At 42.0% G+C, this 23,485-nt stretch overlaps 1 protein-coding gene across 19 annotated transcripts in view; it reads left to right on the forward strand.

Moving 5' to 3' along the window:
• The window catches only part of PATJ (PATJ crumbs cell polarity complex component), a 421,436-nt gene that overhangs the window by 303,681 nt on the left and 94,270 nt on the right, over positions 1 to 23,485 (forward strand). For all 19 annotated transcript variants that reach the window (XM_011540462.4, XM_011540467.4, XM_011540464.4 and 16 more), the window contains one exon: positions 4,806 to 4,898. In XM_011540462.4, coding sequence (XP_011538764.1) covers positions 4,806 to 4,898 — 93 coding nt within the window. The remainder of the gene's footprint in view (positions 1 to 4,805; positions 4,899 to 23,485) is intronic.

The raw sequence follows: 23,485 nt of genomic DNA on the forward strand, positions 1-23,485 counted from the left end.
CACTGCACTCCAGCTTGGGTGACAGAGTGAGATGGTGAAGAAAAAAGAAAGGAAGGAAGGAAGGAAAGGAAGGAAGGGAGGGAGGGAGGGAGGGAGGGAAAGGATCCACATTGTTATGTTCTGTACCTCATTTTAGCATAAACATTACAACTTTAGCTCTACTTGTAATGTAACATGAATGTGAACATCAAACTGTTACAGACTTTAGCTCTCCTAGAAAGTAAATGCTTTATTGCTATCCTCCCTCAATTCCAACTTCCTTTTTGCCTGACTCCCAACTCCATCTAGATTTGGACTTCAAACCCTCCTCTACGGAGTCATCTCAGACTAAGAGGAAAAGTGGGGAGGCGTAGTACAGTTAAAAAGAGTATGGAATTTGAAGTAAAACAGACCTAGGGTGAAAAATGAATCAGGCAGTGGGAATGAATGAGGCCCAGATGCTCGATTCAAGGATCTTTCAGTCCCGTCAGGGAGATCAGTTCTGTACATGCATAATTAGGATACAAAAGAGATGAATGTTAAGTGACAGAGGAGGTTCAGGTAGAATGTTACAATTTAGAGGAAGGAGAGATGTCCCCCAGGTAAGGAGAAGGAAAAGATACAATGGAACAAGTGACATTTGAGACCTGGCTTTGAATGATAAATTCTGCTTCATTTGATCCTCTAGTTTCTAAGTGTGGGATGTGGTGTAGACATAGAGAGTATTTTTTGTTTCTATTCACATCTTAAAGGATGCATAGACTATTTGGAACCTAGACTGCTTTGCCCATGTTTTCTTAAATTTTACAGGTTGACGCATCCCTTAAACAGCTGTTTTCTCCTCTACTTTAGTATTCATTTTATAAAGACCAAGAATATCTTATCTTCAATATGCATATTGCTGAGAAATGTAAAAGTAAAGGTTCCTCTAATTTATTTAAGGAACGCTTTCCTTTCCCTAAGGGGACATGTGCATAATTAGATGAATGTTTTCAGCTGACGCCTCTTCATGTGAGAATCTCTCTCTTCTGGGACCAGAGGTGGTGGCCATTTGCAGGGTTACTAACAGAACCTGTGGGTTCGTTCTACAGTCTAATGTGCTGCAGCTACAAACATTAGCTATTTCTCTTTTTTTGAGACGGAGTCTCTCTCTGTTGCCCAGGCTGGAGTGCAGTGGCGTGATATCGGCTCACCGCAACCTCTGCCTCCTGGGTTCAAGCCATTCTCTTGCCTCAGCCTCCTGAGTAGCTGGGATTACAAGCACCCACCACCACGCCTGGCTAATTTTTTTGTATTTTTAGTAGAGACAGGGTTTCACCATCTTGCCCACTTGAACTCCTGACCTCGTGATCCACCCGTCTCAGCCTCCCAAAGTGCTGGGATTACAGGCGTGAGCCACCGCACCCAGCCCAACATTGACTATTTCAAAGCTCCACTTGGCCACCGTAACCTCGCCAGGCCTTCTTCAGGGGCTCCCACAGCTTGCAGAACTAGACACACTAAGGAATTTGGATATTACAAGTTTTCCATAGATTAAATACTGATTTTTAAAGAGTAATTCCTTTGTTCAGAATTTCTGTTTCTAACACTTACATTACCACTGTCAAAAATGCTGAAAATCTGTATGTTTTCAAGATGTATTAACTTGGGTATGTTTATTTCACATGGTAACTCCTTGATTATCCAAAATTCACTGAGAAGAGGATGTTCTATCTAATACAATTTTCTGGTTAAAAAAATCCTAAGACATGTTTTAGAAAATCCATGGTCTATTAACAATAATTGTTTGAAAGATTGTGAGTCTTATCTTCTGTAAGATCAGTTGTCAACACTCAATACTGAAAAGGAAGAACGAGAGAGAAATGAGAGCATCATTTATTGAGGGCCTAGCATGGCCCTTTCCCAGCTTTGAATCTTAGATCTACCTTTTACTGCCTGGAGTTGTTTAGCAAGTGATTTAAAATGTATCATTATCCTCATTTATGAATTGGGATCATGGTGGTACATTCCCCTAGCAGGTTATTAGGAAGACTATATGAGATAGTGCAAGAATAAAGAATCTGCTTCAACAAAAAGCTAGAAACAGTTCTGTCAAATTCACATGGAAACAAAGAAAGAAAGAAAAGGCCGGGCGTGGTGGCTCACACTGTAATCCCAGCACTCTGGGAGGCTGAGGTGGGTGGATCACTTGAGGTCAGGAATTTGAAACCAGTCTAGCCAACATGGCGAAACCCCGTCTCTACTAAAAATACAAAAATTAGCTGGGCCTGGTGGTGGGTGCCTGCAATCCCAGCTACTCGGGAGGCTGAGGCAGGAGAGTCGCTTGAACCCAGGAGGCAGAAGTTGCAGTAAGCCGAGATCGTGCCACTGCATTCTAGCCTGGGCGACAGAGCGAGACTCTGTCTCAAAAAAAAAAAAAAAAAAAAAAAAAGAAAAAGAAAGAAAAGAAAATAGTAAATTATATTTAAAATCTAGAAACAAAAGTTAACTGTACCTGGTGTTATGCAAATGGATATTTTACATATTAACTCATTAATCTTTTAAAGCAACCTTATAGGGTAGTATTTTTAATCTGGTATTTTATCTGCACTTTAAAAACAAGTTAAGTTACAGGTGAGCATCCCAAATTTGAAGTTAGAAATGCTCCAAATTCTGAAACTTGTTGAGCACTAACATGATGCTCCAAAGAAATGCCCATTGAAGCATTTTGGATTTCAGATTTTTCATTTTGGTTTTGGGATGCTCAGCTGGTAAGTATAATTCAAACATTCCAAAATCTGAAAAAATTTGAAGTCCAAAACATTTCCAAGCATTCTGGATAAGGGATACTTAACCTGTACTCAGGTTTGAAAGCAACTTGCCCCAAGTCATATAATTCTAAGTGGCAAAGTTGAGATTTGAACCCAAATCTGCCCAATTCTAAAGTCCATGCTGCTTGCTTTCTTTAATTTTTTTTTCTTCTTTTAGGTGTTTCTCATAGTCTCCCCTTACTTTATGTTTAAATATGCAATCGTATGTGATAATTCTTCTGTAATCAAACAGTATAGAAATAATTAATGCAAAAATTACCCGTTCCCCAATTCCACTCCCCAGAAGTAAGCAATCACACACACACACACACACACACACACACACACACACAGAGTATTTTTTTTTCTGAAAAGATTATCTTAATTTATATTCACTCAGTGATGTATAAAAATTCCTTTCTCCCTGACATTACCAATATTGAATGTTCTTTTCCTATTCTGTTGTCCATTTGATAGTTGAAAGAATGCTCTCTTTGCTTTAATTGCATCAAATTATGAGTGAGATTGAATGTCTCAAAATCAAAACTCTTTTCCCTATAAACTATTTCAGCCAAATCTGTAGTAATCCCAGGATGGTGGTGATTAAAAATAAAAGTCCAGGTAAGTACAATGTGGATATTCCATTTGTCATCCTTATCCTTCCTTATATATCCCCAGAAAGTAAAATAACTTCTAGTTAGTTAACTATAACATTTAATATGTCACAATTCAATTGAGGAGATGCCTAATGTGTTTTAGATTTTTAGTGGTATGTATTATTGCCAGGTGTCTCATTTATGTAAATACATATTTTCAGGATTCTGCAGGAAAAAGTCACGAAAGAAAACAAGTACTCAGTGCATTCATTAGTTCCATCAGTGTTAGGTGGTTTCCACGTGCCAGGCATGGTGATGGGACTTGATTTCAGAAACCAACAAGACACACTTTGGAAGGCTGAGGCAGGCAGATCACTTGACGTCAGGAGTTCGAGACCAGCCTTGCCAACACAGCAAAACCCCATCTACTAAAAATACAAAAATTAGCCCGTGTGGTGGCATGCACCTGTAGTCCCAGCTACTCAGGAGGCTGAGGCACAAGAATCACTTGAACCCGGGAGGCGAAGGTTGCAGTGAGCGGAGGTCGTGCCACTGCACTGCAGCCTTGGCGATAGAGTGAGACTGTCTGCCCCACCAAAAAAAAAAAAAAAAAATTCATTTATTAAATTTTAAAGAAACATTTTTTATTAAATAAAAAAAATAAATAAAAGAAATCAACAAGATAAACCCAGTCTCTTATCTCAAACAGTTTAGTCATATACAAAAAACAGTCAACTGACTCAGTGAGAAAGCTTGGGCTGGAGGTAACAGAATGGCTAACTCAAACCGGTTGAAGCAAAAGGAAATGTATTAGCTCTCACAGAAGGTGGTTAAGGATAAGGCTGGGCTCCAAGTTTGCTCAATCCAGTGACCTAGTTTTGCCAGCAGAGAACCAGTTCTTTCTATGTCTACATTTGCTTTGTAACCCACAGGGTCAGCCTTATCCTAAGGCTGGTTCCCTCATTGTCATGGGACGGTCGTCCATGGAAACTTGGGCTCATGCTCTCTTGTTAATTTGGGAGGTATAGGGACTTCTTGCAGCTCTCTTAAGACTAAAGAAGAACTTTTCCACACATCTCCAGCAAACCTCTCCTTATATTTCATTGGCCAGAACTGACAAAATCTATTCCTGATCTGCCCATTCTGGACAAAATCACTGGGAAAAGAAAAAGACTATCCTAGGCAATCAGGCCTACACCTGAAACAGAGGGTGGGGACCAGCTTTCCCTAAGGCCTATCTGTGAGCAGCAGAGATAGATACCTGAAACAACAACAACAAAACAGTCTTCTGCTAGAAAGAAAGAAACAGAAAATACTTCCTCAGAGGAAACAATATCCACCACAACCATATGATGAGCAAATGACATTGAGTATCTGTACAATTCGAGGGAGTGTAAGTGAAGAATGACATCTTTGCCATTTTCTTTTTAACGTTCCATAGGATCAGAGCGGCACCGAACCTATTAGTAGTGAGGAAGATGGCAGCGTCGAAGTTGGTATTAAACAATTGCCTGAAAGTGAAAGCTTCAAACTGGTGAGAATCTTGAGTATTTTTCATCCTGTATTCTGTTTAGGGATGTATCACTTATATTTTGTACCACCTTGGAAAGAACCACCTATCATGTTTGCTTCTCTCAGGAATCTTCGTCTGTGAGACAAGAAGCTATTATATGTAGTGAGTGACCCATTGACTCTGAAGAAGAGCATCTTCTCTTACCTTGGCAACACTTGAATTGTGCTGTCTGGGATTAAGGAAGCAATCTCTCCTCTTTTTTTTTGTTTTTGTTTTTGTTTTTGTTTTTTGAGATGGAGCCTCACTCTGTCGCCCAGGCTGGAGCGCAGTGGCTGGAGCACAGTGGTGCAATGATCTCAGCTCACTGCAACATCTGCCTCCCAGGTTCAAGCGATTCTTTTGCCTCGGCCTCCAGAGTAGCTGGGACTACAGGCGCACACCACCATGCCCAGCTAATTTTTATATTTTTAGTAGGGACGGGATTTTGCCATGTTAGCCAGGCTGGTCTTGAACTCCTGACCTCAGATGATCCATCCGCCTTGGCCTCCCAAAGTGCTGGGTTTACAGATGTGAGCCACTGTGCCTGGCCTGCAATTTATCCTTTATATCTGGTTTAATATTGGATTTTTATAAGGCCAGAGCTGTGCTTAATTAGTCCTGGAGGCACAAGAAAAAATGTTAAATTTATTCCATTGATTCCAAGCAAAAGATACTTAAACTTATCCAGGGGCTAGGGCATTAGAAGAGAGGCAGTTTTAGAGAACTCTTTCTCCTTATGTACCCTAATGTTTGATATTTTGTTATTTAATAGTTATTGAACATTTGTTGCATATCAGACACTGTGCTGTGTTCTGCATGCATTTCCTGTTCTTTGATTTTCCTACACGTGAGGAAACTGAGAGTTAGAGAAGTTAACTAACTTGCCAAAGGCCCCCAGCCAGTATGTGATAGGCTGGGAGATGGCTGCCCTACCCTCTGACTCCCATGCCTTGGCTCATCATCTGCTTTTCTGTTTTGTAGCCCAGCACTTCCAGGGTTAGACTACAAATTCTAGAAGAAATGTAGGCTTTTTTCCCCTCTGTGTTTAAAAATGTCCTACAAATCTCAAAGAATTAATCACTTAGGAGTGTCATCTAACTCTGATTTTATGACAGCCCAGAGTTGTTCATTTTACTTCAGGGCATTTGAGAAATCATCCATTTATCCTCTTTCAGGTTTTGGAAAATATATCTTGCGACTGCCACAGATTGCATATCCTAGAAAGTGAGCTTATTCTGGCTGAAGGGAAAGAATGTTTCAGCAAGAGTGGAAATTGTAATGGGCCACTCATGAATAAACCCTACATGGGACCTGAGACCCCTGGCATGAAGAGTACTAGCAGTTTATTTACCAGAGATTGACTAAAAAAAAAAAAAAAAAAATGACCGGGCACAGTGACTCAAGCCTATAATCCCAGCACTTTGGGAGGCCAAGGCGGGCAGATCACCTGAAGTCAGGAGTTCAAGACCAGCCTGACCAACATGGAGAAACCCCGTCTCTACTGAAAATACAAAAATTAGCTGGGCGTGGTGGTGCATGACTCTAATCCCAGCTACTCGGGAGGCCGAGGCAGGAGAATCGCTTGAACCCAGGGGGAGGCAGAGGTTGCGGTGAGCCAAGATCACGCCATTGCACTCCAGTTTGGGCAACAAGAGTGAACCTCCGTCTCAAAAAAAAAAAAGAAAAAAGAATAATGGCAGTAAAAAATTATGATTTCCCTTTCCAAAAGGTAGAGTGCATTTTTGCACTACAGGGAAATGAGGAACAGCAACAAATTTCAAACCGAAAGCCCCTTTACTTAAAAATATGTTAACTTGTTCTGTTTGGCACTATATCTCCATAGTCAGGTTAGGGGAAAGTCTTTTAAAGCAACAGAATTTTGTAGGTAGGCATCCCCAATTTCATCCACAGAGGAAATGGTAAAAAGAGTGAGAATACTCTCTTGCTTGCTGGAAGAATCTGGTAGTCCCAGCCAGGCTCATGTGCAGGCCAAAGGTAAAAGCCATCCATCATCCACTCCCAGTTCCCAAGTAAGCAACACCAGTGACAGGGCTGCAGGTGTCAAGACAGTTGAAGAGGCAGAGGGCCTGGAGGCCTGAGGGTCATTTTTAGATAATGTTTCATACTGCACTTCACCAACAATTGAAGGCTTTCCCATACCCATTGACTAGTGTCTGTCTTTTTCCACTCTGTTCCCTTCCTTACCCACCATCTGTCCTTTTGGTTCTGGAGTTTCTTAATCACTGTTTGCAGTAGAATCTCTGCATGTTCTAGTTCAGAAAGGAAAGATAGCCTGAATTTGGACAACTTTTATAGCATAAATATAAATGGCCTGGCATAAAGTATTATTTAAGAGTGTCTGGCCGGGCACAGTGGCTCACGCCTGTAATCCCAGCACTGTGGGAGGCCAAGACAGGAGGATCACCTGAGGTTGGGAGTTCAAGACCAGCCTGACCAACATGGAGAAACCCCGTCTCTACTAAAAATACAAAATTAGCCAGGCATGATGGCGCATGCCTGTAATCCCAGCTACTTGGGAGGCTGAGGCAGGAGAATCGCTTGAACCTGGGAGATGGAGGTTGCAGTGAGCCGAGATCGCGCCATTGCACTCTAGCCTGGGCAAGAAGAGCGAAATTCCGTCTAAAAAAAAAAAAGTGTCTTGAAGAAGTCACTTGACCTCACCAAACCTCAGTTTCCTCAGCTGAGGAATGACGGTAATTAGGATGCTATTAGGAAACAAAGGGGCTATAAAATATAAATCACACAGAAGAATATAGGGCAAATAGAGCTTAGTAAATTCATTTCATTCATTCAACAAATATTTGCCAAATACCACTATGTTCCAGGTACTGAAGATACCGCAGTGAACAAAATGTACAAAAATGCCTTCCCTCATGGACTCATTCCACAGTTGGAGGGGGAAGGAAGATAGACAGTACATCAATTAGCAAAATGTTGGATTGAATCATATGAAATTGCCATTTTGGTAGGTAAAAATTTCATATGGTTCAACCTAACATATACATAAATGTCATTGTCTTGTAATGAAGTATTAATTCAAGACAAGCCTAGTTCCAGACCAGCCTAGGCAACATTGTGGGCCCCATTTTTATTTAAAAAAAAAAAAAAAGAAGAAATTAGCTGAGTGTGGTGACAAGCACCTGTAGTCTCAGCTACTCAAGAGGCTGAAGTGGGAGGATTACTTGGACCTGGGAGGTTGAGGTGGCAGTAAGCTGTGATTGTGCCACTGCACTCCAGCCTGGGTGACAGAGTGAAACCCTGTGTCCAAAAAAAAAAAAGTTATTTTCAGAGCTGAGGCTAAGCCGTGGCCTATGCATACTCCAGTGCTATTTTCAGTATATTCAGTTGGTTGGCTTTGGACTGTGTCTCAGTAGCCCTAGATGCATAGCCAAGGAGTTTATAATAATTTCAGAAGGTATTCCATTTCTTTAAAATATTTTTAAAGGGGGAAATAACTTTTTTGTAGATCAGTTGATGGTTTGTGAAACATAGATTCTGATTGTGAGAGACTGGAGGCAGGGAAGTGTCTGGTATCTATTTCAGAAGTCTAGATGAGAGCCTGTTAGAAGCCTTTTGAAAAGAACTTGAATGAAAGTACTTGCACAGAGCTTTCCAATTTGCAAAACAGTTTCATCTATAATCTCATTGGCTTAATTTTTTTAATATTTAAGTTTTTTCGCGGGGTACGGTGATTCATGCCTATAATCCCAGCACTTTGGGATGCCGAGGCGGGGAGATCAAGAGGTCAAGAGATCGAGACCAGCCTGGCCAACATGGTGAAACCCCATCTCTACGAAAAATACAAAAATTAGCTGGGCATGGTGGCGGGTGCCTGTAGTCCCAGCTACTTGGGAGGCTGAGGCAGGAGAATCGCTTGAATCTGGGAGGCGGAGGTTGCAGTGAGCTGAGATCGCACCATTGCACTCCAGCCTGGCAACAGAGCGAGACTGTGTCTCAAAAAAAAGAAAAAAAAATTTAAGTTTTTTTCTAAAATGGTGTTTAGTTGGTTTGTGATCTTAATCTTATCCCCAAAATAACCATATGTAAAGAGAAGGAGAAGAATTATTTATCCCAGATTTATAGATGAGACTTTATCTGCTCAGTGTAAGATCAAAAAACTGGAAATTGGGAGAAGTGGAACTCATTCAGAAAGCCTCATGATGTCCTGGTAGCTTGCTGACATCGGAGCTCAAGATCCCTAAAATAATTACTTTAATCTTTTGGGTATAAACTTGTGTGCTTATAATGTTCAGAATATCTATGTTCATATAATATGCTCTTTTGAAGTGGTATAATTAAATTAGTAAGAGTGCAATCACTGGAGCTAGACTACTTGGGTTCAAATCCTGGTTCCGCTATTCGCTAACAATTATAACCTTAGAGAAATGACTTAACCTCTCTGTGATTCAGTTTATGCCTCTGTAAAATGGGAGGAAAAATTAAATGAGTTGATAACAGTAAAGTACTACTTAATCCATACCAGAGTGCGCTGTAGTCACTGTCAAAGAGTGAATTGTTGTTAATGAGGATGATGCTGTCATTCTGATTAAAGCATTAAGGGGTAGCCATAGAAGGAACAACTATTCCAAGTGAAGCATTAAGATATAACTTGAAAAATTGAAGTGACTTTTTCAACCTGAAAAGCACAATTACTAATGTATTAGGGTTCTCCGAAGAGACAGAACCAATAGGATATATGGATATCTGAGAAGGGATTTATTAAGGGAATCGTCTCACGTGTTATGGAGCCTGAGAGGTCCCACAATAGGCTGTCTGCAAACTGGAGAACCAGGGGAGCCAGGAGCAAATTCAGTTAAAGTGTGAAGACCTGAGAACCAGGGGGCTGCTGATAAAAGCTCTGCAGTCCAAAGGCTGGAGAACATGGAGTTCTGATGTCCAGGGGCAGGAGAAAATGGTGTCCCAGCTTCAGAAAAGAGCGAATTCACCTTTCCTCTGCCTTTTTGTTCTACCTGGCCCTCCGCCAATTGGATGGTGCCTTGCCCAAACTGGATGAGGGTAGGTCTTCCTTGCTTGGTCCACTGCTTCAAATGCCCATCATTTCTGGAAACACCCTTCCAGACACACCCAGAAATAGTGTTTTACCAGCTAGCTAGATATCCCTTAATCCACTCAGATGGATACCTAAAGTTCACCATCATAGTTAATATATTATTCTAAGCTCTTTAACACATGCTAACTTATTCACATAACAATAGTAGTTATATAGTAGTATCATTTCCATGTAAGAGATAAAGCACTGAAATGTTAAATAAATTGCCTTGGAGCCAAGCACAGTGGCTCCAGTTTGTAATCCCAGCTACTCAGGAGGCTGAAGTGGGAGGATTAATTGAGGCCAGGAGTTTGAGGCTGCAGTGAGCTATGACCACGCCCCTGCACCCCAGCCTGGGTGACAGAGTAAGACCTTATCTCAAAAAAAAAAGTTGTGGCCGAGGCTGGTGGATCACCTGAGGTCAGGACTTCGAGACCAACCTGGCCAACATGGCGAAACCCCGTTCCTATTAAAAATACAAAAATTGGCTGGGCGTGGTGTTGGATGCCTGTAATCCCAGCTACTTGGGAGGCTGAGGTAGGAGAATCACTTGAACCCCAGGGGCGGAGGTTGCAGTGAGCCAATATCACACCACTTTACTCCAGCCTGAGTGAAAGAGCAAAACTCCATCTCAAAAATAAAAAATCACCCATTGAAGCCAGGGCTCAAATTGGAGGTTACTACACTTTGTTTTTTTTAAGTCTCACTCTGTCACCTGGGCTGGAGTGCAGTGGCGCTTTCTCAGCTCCCTGCTCTGCAACCTCCACCTCTGGGGTTCAAGCAGTTCTCGTTCCTTAGCCACCTGAGTAGCTGGGAATACAGGCATGCGCCACCAGGCCCGGCTAATTTTTGTACTTTTAGTTGAGACAGGGTTTCACCATGTTTGGCCAAGCTGGTCTGGAACTCCTGGCCTCAGGTGATCTCCCCACCTCAGCCTCCTAAAGTGCTGAGATTACAGGCGTGAGCCACTGTGCTGGGCCTGAAACCTCAACTCTAATCAAAGCTAAGAACTAGAGTTGCTTCGTGCTAAGAGAGCGTATGAAAGGGGATTTGACCTTGAGAGGGAGGGCTACCCTGGGGATGAATTTGAAGGAGAAGCTGACAATAATTGGGAATGGGACAAAGAAGAAAACAAAGGAAGGTTTTAGGCAACCTTAGAGCCTCTGAGAGTCTGATGAACTGAAAGTCTGTGGTTGCCAGATTGGTGAGATGGAAGCGAAATTGGAGTGATCAGCAGCAGCCAGGCCATGTTAAGCACTGTGATCTCCATGCTGATGGCAGTGGGAGGCCACAGAGGTCTGCAGGAGATGACTCCCAGTTCACTGTAGCCGCAGTGTGGCATCAGATAGAACAGGCCAGAGCGGACGCTGATGCCCTGGTTGAGAGTTGATTGCAGCACTGGCAGTCCATGAGAGATGGTGGAAACAATATATATTCTCATGTTTTGTCTTTGCAAAAATCATGTAAAATAAACATGCTTGACTCTTCAGCAAGGCAATGTATGGGTTTACTAGGTAAGTTTCACAGAGAGTTGTCAGTAAAATAATTGACGTTTCTTGCCCCCAGTATGTAAACCTTGTGTCTGTAAGTGTTCTTTAAAGCTTTCCTCTGAATGCAGGTTTAGAGCTATTTAAATGGCAAATGCCATAGCATCCAGGGCTTCAGAACAACCATAATCCCAAAGCTTGGCCAGGAGCCCAAGAGAACTGTGTTAGAATTGCCCTGGACAGATGTGCTTACTGTACTTCCCTCATTTTGTACAACTGCATAACAGCAGTGGGCTCTATATGTCAAGTGACACTTGTCATTACAGACCTGGTTTGTATACAGCTGCCTCAAGAACTCTTTAGATTTTTCAAAAATTTTCAGAATGTTATGATTTTTCAAATTTCCAGTGGTATTTGTCTTTACTGTTGTCTTTCATTGTGAAATATAATTTCTGACCCTTAGGGCAAGAATACAAAAATGAGAGTATTCCAGTCTACTCAGGGCAGCATTCTTCTTGGAGTTTCTTTGTGGAGATTTTAGAATTTACAGGATAGAAAGATGCCTGAGGAAGCATGAATTGTTTTCAGAGGTAACTTACCAGTAACCTAAATGAGCTGTGACATGGAAATGCACACTGCAGCTGACCGTGCATTTTACCATTTCAGAGTCCTTGTCAGCTAGAATACCAACATTTTAGAAGCATTCTTTACTCTCCACCTTGATGCATTTGATCCTTATAAAAAAATTAAACATATTTATTAAACAGCGTCACGTGTTACAAATAACACCTGTATTGCCAAATGGACTGGGAACACTTGCTTTTCCAGATGAAAAAGGCTGTCAGATACAAATCATAGGCTCTGAAGTCTGAACAGACTTAGATCCTGCCTGTGGGAAAGGGGCTTATCCTGTCTGCCTATTTTTCTTCATCCAAAAATTAGAGAAGATGGTGCTCACTTCTTTGTTATAAGGATCAAGTATGATTTTGTATGTGAAATTTCTGACACAGCACGTGGCATGCAGTAAGAGCTCAGTTATTGGTAGCTATCATTAATACCAGATTTTGCCTATATGAAATGTAGGTGTGCCAGAGCTCTCATTATTCAGTACACATTTTGTTAGAATCTGTGCAGCGTTTCGAGCTCTAGGCATGTGAAGATAAGTAAGACCGCTTTCATGTCCAGGAGTGTGCCACACTTGGTCTAACGCAGAGGTCACAAGCTGGTTGTTAGGAGTCAGATTCAGCCCACAAATGTGTTTCATTTAGTCTATGCAACATTCTTAAGATTTTTGAGCTAAGTTTTATGAATCAGGAGATTTTCCATAAAAATCCAGGTTTCCATTTTCCACTGGAAATGGACCAGCATTCCAAGCTGCCCTTCAATTATGTACTCCGAGTTTATCTCAGTACCTGCCTTTTCATTCTTCTCTAATGCAGCCTGCTTCCCTAATGGCATCACCTGTAGGTCCTCACGTCTGCATTCCTAGCCTAATCCTAGAGACAGAACTATGGACATGCAGATATAGTAGCAGGAAGTGAAAACCACCAAGTCAGCAGGGGTTGGCTGGCAGAGGGCCTTGTGGACCAGGAAAAAAGGACTTTATACCAAGGGAAGCCTTTGAAATGGTTTTCAACAGAGGATTATAAAGATGAGATTAACCTTTTGAAAAGATCCTTCTGGGTGCCCTTTGAAAAATCGGTTAGGCCCAGCATGGTTGCTCACCCCTGTAATCCCAGAATTTTGGGAGGCTGAGGTGGGCAGATCACTTGAGGTCAGGAGTTTGTGACCAGCCTGGCCAACATAGTGAAACCCCGTCTCTACTAAAAATACAAAGCCGGGCATGGTGGCACACATCTGTAATCCTAGATACTCGGGAGGCTGAGGCAGGAGAATCGCTTGAACCCGGGAGACGGAGGTTGCAATGAGCCGAGATTGCGCCAGTTCACTCCAGCCTGGGTGAGAGAGCGAGACTCCATCTCAAAAAAAAAAAGAATTGGTTAGATACTTTGTCAATTTTCAATTTTGCAAAGAAAATTATATACATATAAAATATAAAGAATCAGTTAGAAAATGTCAAAACTGAAGTCAGGAAGAGAATTAAAAAGCTATTAGAGTAACTGAGATGAAAGTTAATAATGACTGAAACCAAGGATCTGGCCATTAGGACAGAGAAATATGGACAGATTTTCAACATATACAGGAGTCAGAATGGATGGGACTTGATGGTTACGTAGATATGAAAGTTGAAGAGGGAGGAGGCAAAAATGATTCTCAGATGCATCATGGGCAGCTGACTGGGTGGCTGGTTGATGCTATTTACTGAGAAAAGAAACAGGAGGAAGAGCAGATTTGTGTGGGAAGAGGATTACCTTCATTCTTGTCTGTTTTTAGATGTCTCTGTAAAACAAGAAACATATCTGTCACTATAATGGGCACTTTAAAATATGATCTCATTTATCCTGATAGAAACAGCAATAATAATAGCAATACCATCCACCTGGATTCTATGCTTATTTGTTAGGAACTGAGCAGAAACTGTTGCTCTCCACCTCTGTCCTTCCCGTAATGAAAGCGTTAATACTGTCGTCATCTCCATTTTGCAGCTGAGGGACCAGAAGTTAATGCACGTGCTCAAAGACTTAGAGCCTGTGAGTGCTGTAGTAAGGATTCAGAGCCTTATGGATTTGACTGGGCTGACTTTTTTTATTTTTAATTTCAACTTTTATTTTATTTTTTATTTATTTTTTGAGACAAGGTCTTGCTCTGTCACCCAGGCCAGAGTGTGGTGATGCAAACATAGCTTCATTGCAACCTCAAACTCCAGGGCTCAAGCAATCCTCCTGCCTCAGCCTCCCAAGTAGCTAGGACTACAGGCGCACAGTACCATACTTGGCTAATTTTTTTGTATTTTTTATAGAGATGGGTTTCGCCATGTTCAGTTCAGCAGTTCTACACTAACATAACTTGATGGGTGAAAATAGGGTGGTGGTAGGTGGGAGGGAGTGAGGATCGTATTAGATAATGTAAGTAAATCTCTCTATAAACTGAAGAGTCCTGGAGACAGGGTCTTGCTCTGTTGCCCAAGCTGGAGTGCAGTGGTAAGATCATAGCTTACAGCAGCCTCGATCTCCTGGCCTCAAGCGGTCCTCCCACCTCAGCCTCCCAGAGTGTTGGGATTACAGGCATAAGCCACTGCACCAGACCTTTCAACTTTTATTTTATTTCTGTATTTTTAGTAGAGACAGGGTTTCACCACGTTGGCCAGGCTGGTCTCCAACTCCTGATCTCAGAGGGTTTACCCACCTTGGCCTCCCAAAGTGCTGGGATTACAGGAGTGAGCCACCACGCCCAGCCATTCAACTTTTATTTTAGATACAGGGGGTACATGTGCAGGTTTGTCATAAGGGCATATTGTGTGATGCTGAGGTTTGGGATATGATTGAACCTCTGTGAGCGCAGTCCCCAGTAGGTAGTTTTTCAGCCTTCCCTCCCTCTTTCTCTCCTTGCCTCTTCTTGTAGTCCCCAGTGTCTATTTTTCCCATCTTTTTTTGTTTTTTTATTAAGATTGAGTTTCACTCTTGTCACCCAGGCTGGAGTACAGTAGTGCGATCTTGGCTCACTACAATCTCTACCTCCCAGGTTCAAGCAATTCTCCTGCCTCAGCCTCCCGAGTAGCTGGGATTACAGGTGCCCGCCCCCACGCCCAGCTAATTTTTGTATTTTTAGTGAAGACGGGGTTTTGCCATGTTGGCCAGGCTGGTCTTGAACTCCTGATCTCAGGTGATCCACCCACCTCGGCATCCCAAAGTGCTGGGATTACAGGTATGAGCCACCGTGCCCAGCCTGTTTTTCCCATCTTTATGTCCATGTGTATCCAGTGTTTAGCTCCCACTTATGCGTGAGAACATGCAGTATTTAGTTTTCTGTTCCTGTGTTAATTTGCAGCTGCATCCATGTTGTGGCAAAGAACATGATTTCGTTGAGTGTTTTTTATGGCTGTGTAGCATTTCATGTGTATGCACCACATTTACTTTTTTTTTGAGATGGAGTCTCACTCTGTGGCCCAGGCTGGAGTGCAGTGGTGTGGTCTTGGCTCACTGCAAGCTCCGCCTCCCAGGTTCACGCCATTCTCCTGCCTCAGCCTCCCGAGTAGCTGGGACTGCAGGCACCTGCCACCATGCCCAGCTAATATTTTGTATTTTTAGTAAAGATGGGGTTTCACCGTGTTAGCCAGGATGGTCTCGATCTCCTGACCTCATGATCCACCCGCCTCGGCCTCCCAAAGTGCTGGGATTACAGGCGTGAGCCACCGCACCAAGACTTACACCACATTTTCTTTATACAGTCCACTGTTGATGGGCACCCAGGTTGATATCATGTCTTTGCTATTGTGAATAGTGCAGCAATCAACATATGAATGCAGGTGTCTTTCTGGTAGAATAACTTATTTTCCTTTGGTTATGTAACCAGTAATGGGATTACTGGGTTGAATGATACTTCTATTTTTAGTTCTTTGAGAAATCTCTAAAGTGCTTGCCACAGTGGCTGAACTAATTTACATTCCCACCAATAAATAGCATATAAGAGTTCTTTTGTCTCCATAGCCTCACTAACATCTGTTTTTTTTTATTTTTTAATAGCAGCCATTTAGACTGGTATGAGGTGGTATCTCATGGTTTTGATTTGCATTTCTCTGGTGATTATCGATGTTGAGCATTTTTTCATATGTTGGTTGGCTGCTTCTATGTTGTCTTCTTTTTTTTTTTTTTTTTTTTTTTTTTTCCTTTTTTGACAGGATCTCACTGTGTTTCCCAGGCTGGAGTGCAGTGGTGTGGTCATAGCCCACAGCAACCTTTTTTTTTTTTTTTTTTTTTTTTTTGACAGGGTCTCACTCTGTTTCCCAGGCTGGAGTGCAGTGGTGTGTGGTCATAGCTCACAGCAACCTTGAACTCCTGGCACAAGCAATCCTCCCACATCAGCCTTCCAAGTAATTGGGACTATAGGCGCACCACCACACTTGGCTAATTTTTAAATTTTTTGTAGAGATGGGGGTCTCACTTCATTGTCCAGGTTGATGTAGAACTCCTAGCTTTAAGTGATCCTCCTGCCTTGGCCTCCCAAAGTGCAGAGATGACAGGCATGAGACACTGTCCAGGTGTATGTCTTCTTTCCAGAAGAGTGTGTTCTTGTCCTTTGCCTTTGCCTGCTGTTTAATATGGTTGTTTTTGGCTTGTTGATTTGTTGAAGTTCCTTATAGATTCTGGATATTAGACCTTTGTTGGATGTGTAGTTTATGAATATTTTCTCCTATTCTGTAGGTTGTCTGTTTACTCTGTTAATAGTTTCTTTTGCTATGCAGAAACTCTTTAATTATTAGGTCCCACTTGTCAATTTTTGTTTTGGTTGCAATTGTTTTTGAGCACTCAGTTACAAATTCTTTGTGAAGGCTGATGTACAGAAGGGCATTTCCTAGGTTTTCTTCTAGGATTTTTATACTTTTAGGTCTTAATTAAGTCTTCAATCCATCTTGAGTTAACTTTTATGTATGGTACTAGAAGGGGATCCAGTTTAATTCTTCTGCAAATGGATAGCTGGTTATCCCAGCACAATTTATTGACATGTGGAACCTTTCCACATTTCTTATTTTTGTTGACTTTGTCAAAGATCAGTTGGTTGTAGGTGTGCAACTTTGTTTCTGGGTTCTCTGTTTTGTTCTGTTGCCCTGCATGTCTGTTTTTGTGCCAGTACCATGCTGTTTTAGTTATTATAGCTATATAGTATAGTTTGAAGTCAGATAATGAGATGCCTCTGGCTTCATTTTTTTTTTCTTAAGATTGCTTTGGCTATTTAGGCCCTTTTTTGGTGCCATACAGATTTTAGGATAGCTTTTCCTACTTTTGTGAAAAGTGATATTGGTAGTTTGACAGAAATAGCATTGAATGCATAGATTGCTTTGGGCAGTATAGCCATTTTAACAATATTGATTCATCCAGTCCATGAGCATAGAATGTTTTTCCATTTGTTTGTGTCATCTCTGATTTCTTTCAGCAGTGTTTTGTAGTTCTCCTTATAGAGATCTTTCACCTCCTTGGTTAAATGTATCCCTAGGTATTTTTTTGTGTGGCTATTGTAAATGGGATTGCATTCCTGATTTGGCTCTCAGCTTGAATGTTATTGGTGTATAGAAATACTACTGATTTTTGTTCACTGATTTTGTGTCTTGAAACTTCACTGACGTCATTTATCAGGTCTGGTAGTCTTTTGGCAGTCTTTAGGGTTTTTTAGTTACAGAATCATATCATCAGTGAAGGCAGAGAATTTGACTTTTTATTCTCCTATTCGAATGCCTTTTATTTCTTTCTCTTGCCTGGTTGCTCTGGCTAGCACTTCCAGTACTATGTTGAATAGGAGTGGTGAGAGTGGGCATCCTTGTCTTGTTCCAGTTCTGAAGAGGAATGCTTCCAGCTTTTACACAATCAATATGTTGGCTGTGAGTTTGTCAAAGATGGCTGTTAGTATTTTGAGGTACGTTCCTACAATGCCTAGTTTGTTGAGGGTTTTTATCATGAAGGTATGTTGGATTTTATCGAAAGCTTTTTCTGAGTCTACTAAGATGATAATATGGTTTTTGTTTTTAGTCTTATGGACTTAATGACTTTTGAAGTATAAATGGGGTATGAGCCATAATGCTTTTTTTTTTTTTTTTAGACCGAGTCTTACTCTGATGCCCAGGCTGGAGTGAGTGCAGTGGCACAATCTCAGCTCACTGCAACCTCCACCTCCCAGGTTCAAGCGATTCTCTTGCCTCAGCCACCTGAGTAGCTGGGATTACAGGTGTGCATCACCAGACCCAGCTAATTTTTTTTGTATTTTAAGTAAAGATGAGGTTTCACCATGTTGGCCAGGCTGGTCTCGAACTCCTGGGCTCAAGTGATCTGCCCTCCTTGGCCTCCCAAAGTGCTGGGTGGCATGAGCCACCGCGCCGGGCCTTCATAAGTGTTTTTAAAGTGCTGGTATCCAAGTATGAAAAAACAGCTTAAAATGTGTTTCTAATGATTATGGGCTTCTTGCTGGTCTTACTTCCAGGCTAGAATTCCCAGGTGTTATATCCTACTCATTTTTAATATGAGATCTTGAACTGTATGCTTAAAATCAATTTTTACCCCCAATTTGCACTCTATCAACTGCTGGATTTCTGGTTTGCTATTGGGAGCAAATGTCACTGTGCAAACCTTTTTTTCTGTTTCAGATGCAACATAAAAAATACATCTGTAGCAGGAGTCTAGGAATTCCCTCTAAGGAGCAAGAAAGTGTGACTGAGTCAGCACTGCCTTCTCTTTTGTGACAGTATGCAAATTGCCAATGGCAGAGTTCAAGTGCATTCAAATATGTGGCATTTTTCACAGCTCATTGTTCTTTATCTCTTGTATTCCTGAAAACCACTTGAGATTTGCGTACATGATAAATTTCCCTTTCTTGGTGATAAAAAAGGCTGTAGGTTTTACAGTCAAGTCTACTTCCTTCAGGAAAGTCTCTGGAGAAAAGCTTTTGTTTTTTTCTTCTATTCTCTTCCTCTCACTGTAGTAAATGAAGATAATGTAGAGACACCAGGGTAACAGAGCAAGTAACCTCATGAACTCAAAGACAGCAGAAATGTAGGCACACAATTTTGACACAAATTCATAGCTTTAGGCTGGGTGCCGTGGCTCATGTCTGTAATCCCAGCACTTTGGGAGGCCGAGACAGGCGGATCACCTGATTTCAGGAGTTTGAGACCAGCCTGGGCAACATAGCAAAACCCCTTCTCTACTAAAAATACAAAAATTAGCCCTGCATAGTTGGCGCTTGCCTGTAATTCCAGCTACTCGAGAGGCTGAGGCAAATCGCTTGATCTCAGGAGGCAGAGGTTGCAGTGAGCCAAGATCACACCATTGCACTCCAGCCTGGGTGACAGAGTAAGACTCTGTCTCAAAAAAAATAATAATTTACAGCTTTGATATCTACTAGCTTACATTCATTCCCAACCACTGTAACTGGTCCAATGTGGAGACTGATTCAACTTGAAATTTAACTTGCCCAGAAGGAATCACTTGCTTATCAGATTTTTTCTAAATTGAGAAAGTGATCTCACAATTGTAATTTTTAGCACGCAGGGCTTAGAGAAGTAAAATGACAGGGCTCAGAACCCAGAACTCAGACTTTCTCACACCGGTCACATCCCCTCCTTTCAGAATCCCACTGCTCCTCAGAAACAAGTGCTGCTGCTTGGGCACTGTTCTCTGAGTCTATGAAGTTTTCGGTTTTCTGGGAAGCCTTATTTGCACACATAATAAGAGCCTATAATCTAAAACGTGTGTTGATTTTGTTATCTTTCAAAGGGAACTATAAATCTACCTTCTCTTTCAGAAACTAAGCAAGTTTGTATTGAGGGCCAGTTATGTCCCAGGCTCTGCACTAAACAAGGTGTAGTGACAGTGAAGAATCCTGCCTTCAGGGAGCTTTCAGAACTGCCGAGGATAACAGCAGCTAATGCTTTCATGGCATTTACTATGCATTCTATAGGCATTATTCCAAGTGCATCAATTTGTATCTTATATGAGATTGGTCTATTACTATTCCCATTTTATAGATAAGGAAACTGAGACACTCAACTAATAAGTGTCATAGCCAAGATTTGAATCCAACTTTAAATAAGTAATTATTAAGGTTAATAAGTATTATTGAAGGACAAGGTAACGTGCTGTGGGAACTTTTTTTTTTTTTTGAGACAGGGTCACACTCTGTCGCCCAGGTTGGAACGCAGTGGTGTGATCACAGCTCACTGCAGCTTTGACCTCCTGGGCTCAAGCAGTCTTCCTGCCACAGCTTCCCAAAGTGTTGAGATTACAGGCAGGAGACACCACACCTGGCCTGTGGGAACTTTGCTAATGTGATTTCACCTAATCCAGGTGGTTAGATGAGTAGGAATTAGGCTGGAACTGACCCAGGAAAGGGCTTTTTAAGTATATTCCTCCTGCCAACTGCACAGACAAAATCAACCCACTGAGACCACAGCATTGCAGTAAAGAAAGAGTTTAATTGACGCAAGACCAGCCCATGCACAGGAGAACTGGAGTTCAGTCTCCCTGAAGGCTCAGACTTTGGGGTTTTTATGGACAGTTTGGTGGGCAGGGGGCTAGGGAATGGGTGCTGCTGATTGGTTGGGGGTGAATTCATAGAGGTGTGGACACAGTCCTTGTTTACTGATCCACCTCTGGGTGGGGCCACAGGATCAGTTGAATCATGAGTCACAAGTCCACGTGGGGTCAGTTTGAAAGATATCTCAAAGAACCAACCTTAGGTTCTACACTAGTGATGTTATCTACAATTGGGGAAATCAAAAATCTTGTGACCTCTAGCCATATGACCCCTGAGCAGCAAGGGATTATAGAAATTATGCCTCTCTTAGCAAAGAGTTCAGGCCCCTCTCATAATTCCTATTCTTTCTTTTTTTTTTTTTTTTTTTTTGAGATGGAGTCTCGCTGTGTCACCCAGGCTGGAGTGCAGTGGTGCAATCTTGGCTCACTGCAACCTCCACCTCCCAGGTTCAAGCAATTCTCCTGCCTCAGCCTCACGAGTAGCTGGGACTACAGGCACATGCCACCACGCCCGGCTAATTTTTTTGTATTTTTAGTAGAGACAGGGTTTCACCATGTTAGCCAGGATGGTCTCAATCTCCTGACCTTGTGATCCACCCACCTCAGCCTCCCAAAGTGCTGGGATTACAGATATGAGCCACCACGCCCAGCCCCGATAATCCTATTTTTGTGGCCTTTCATTACTCTTACAAAAGGAGCTTTTGATCCCTAAGCAAGAAAGGGGTTAGTTTTAGGTGGGGACTATTATCATCTTTGCTTTCAAGTTAAACTATCCACTAAATTCCTCCCAGAGTTACTATGGCCTACATGCAGGAATGATCAAGGACAGTGAGGTGGTCAAGAAGCTAGATCAAGTCAACTATGTCACATTTCTCTTACTGTCATAATTTTGCAAAGGCAGCTTCAGCTACAAAATGGAAGCCCAAGGACCAAAAGTAGTAGTAAACATTAGTGTTTGTTTGTTGTTTGTCTGATGGGCATATTTTAAGAATTGTTAAATTTGAATGCTTTTAGGCTGAACCACCATCTCTGTTTGTTTGTTTTGAGATGGGGTCTCACTCTATAACCCCAGCTGGAGTGCAGTGGCACGATCTCAGCTCACTGCAACTTCTGCCTCCCGGGCTCAAGCGATCCTCCTACCTCAGCCTCCTGAGTAGCTGGGACCACAGGTGTGCACCACCATGGCTGGCTAATTTTTGTATTTTTTGTAGAGATGGGGTTTCACCGTGTTCCCTAGGCCAGTCTCCTGAACTCAAGTGATCCACCCACCTCGGCCTTACACAGTGCTGGGATTACAGGCGTGAGCCACCGCGCCTGGCCTAATTTGTTGTCTTATACTCAGTTCACGTCATTCACCTTCAGTTGGCTCCCTTGCAGCCTGATGCCTGGATGCATCTGAGTTTGTTATCCTGGTGGATATTTTCTGGGAGAGATGGGCTCCACCCTGTTTCAATTAGGGATCTCTTTGTTGCAAGTGACAGAATCTCAATTTGACATTACTTAGACAAAAGGAGAAATTTACTCAAGGGCTAGAGGTTTGTTTGTTTGTTAGTTAGTTTGTTTGTTTTTCATATACTTGCAGGCAGCGTGTGGTTGACACTTAGCCTCAGAGGTGGTTGGAACCAGAGGCCTGCTGCTGCCAGGGTTCTCTCTGTTTATCTGACTTTCCTCCTGCAGATGTGCTTCTTCAGCCTGATGTGTGTATGGCTGCCCAAAGCTCCTAAGCCTCTCTGCCAGAAAAGAGCTGACTCTTCCCTTGGGTCTACTTTGGAAAATCCGTAGAATATTCTTGTGTGGTTCAAGTGTCCACCCTTGGACCAGTTACTGTGGCCAGAGAGACAGGGCATTTTGATTGTCCAGCTTTGGGACAGAGATCAACCAGCTTTGGGGATTGTCAGCTGGACATGTCACCCATCTGTTATATGGGATATTGCCAGTGTTGCCTTTTATGTCCACCCTTCAGAAGCTCCTTCACTTGATCACAGTAATTTTCCTGGCCCACAAAGCATTTTCTTTCAGAGCTCATAGTGCTGTGCTGAAGATTATAGCATCATGCTGCCAGAATGTGTCATATCAGTTTATTTCATGAAATGAGATGACCTTTCTACAACATTTCTTCATTCTTCTTTTTTAGGGGTCCCTTGCAAAGTAAACACATTAGAATGTCCCCAAACCTCAGTTTTGAAGGCATTAAGAGCTCCTTTTGTGTAATAATTGGGCAATTAGCAAATTATAAATTCATGTTTAAACACAAAATATGAAGGAAAGCGACCCAAGGTCACTGCCGTGGCTACTGCCATGATTTTTTTTCCCAACCCAAGTTTAAAATAAGCAGGCATGACTTGTTCTGACCTGATATTGGATCTAAAAACGGAATCACTATGTCATTGCTGGCTAAGAATCTTGCGTGTGTTGCTGGGAGGAGGTAAACAGTACTTTCCCTTTCCCTGAAGGTTTACTCAGTTAAGAGCAAGGGCTCTGCAGCAAGATGTGTCTGAGTTAAGTTCTGGCTTGGCAAATAATAATTTAGCCTCTCTGTGCCGCAGTTACCTCAGCTCTGCTGAGGTATATAATTATACCTCAATTATATTATAAGAGCAATAATTATAAGAGCAATAATTGTCCCTAATACACAGGTCTGTTGTGTACACCAACAAATGGGTAATATGCCTAGCTCAGTAACAGGCACATACTCAGGAGATTTTAGCTGTCATAATTTTCATCATCATCACGTACCAGCTCCATCCCTTGGCTCGGATGTTTAAGAGTAATCAATATAAGAAATGAGACAGTGCGTCAGACCAGATGCTTTTCAGAAATCCAGTTTTCTCATCTATTCCTTCTACATTTTTGAGGACAAGAAAAAAGGAA

This window comes from Homo sapiens, chromosome 1 (assembly GCF_000001405.40).
Source record: "Homo sapiens chromosome 1, GRCh38.p14 Primary Assembly".
Lineage (NCBI taxonomy): Eukaryota > Metazoa > Chordata > Mammalia > Primates > Hominidae > Homo > Homo sapiens.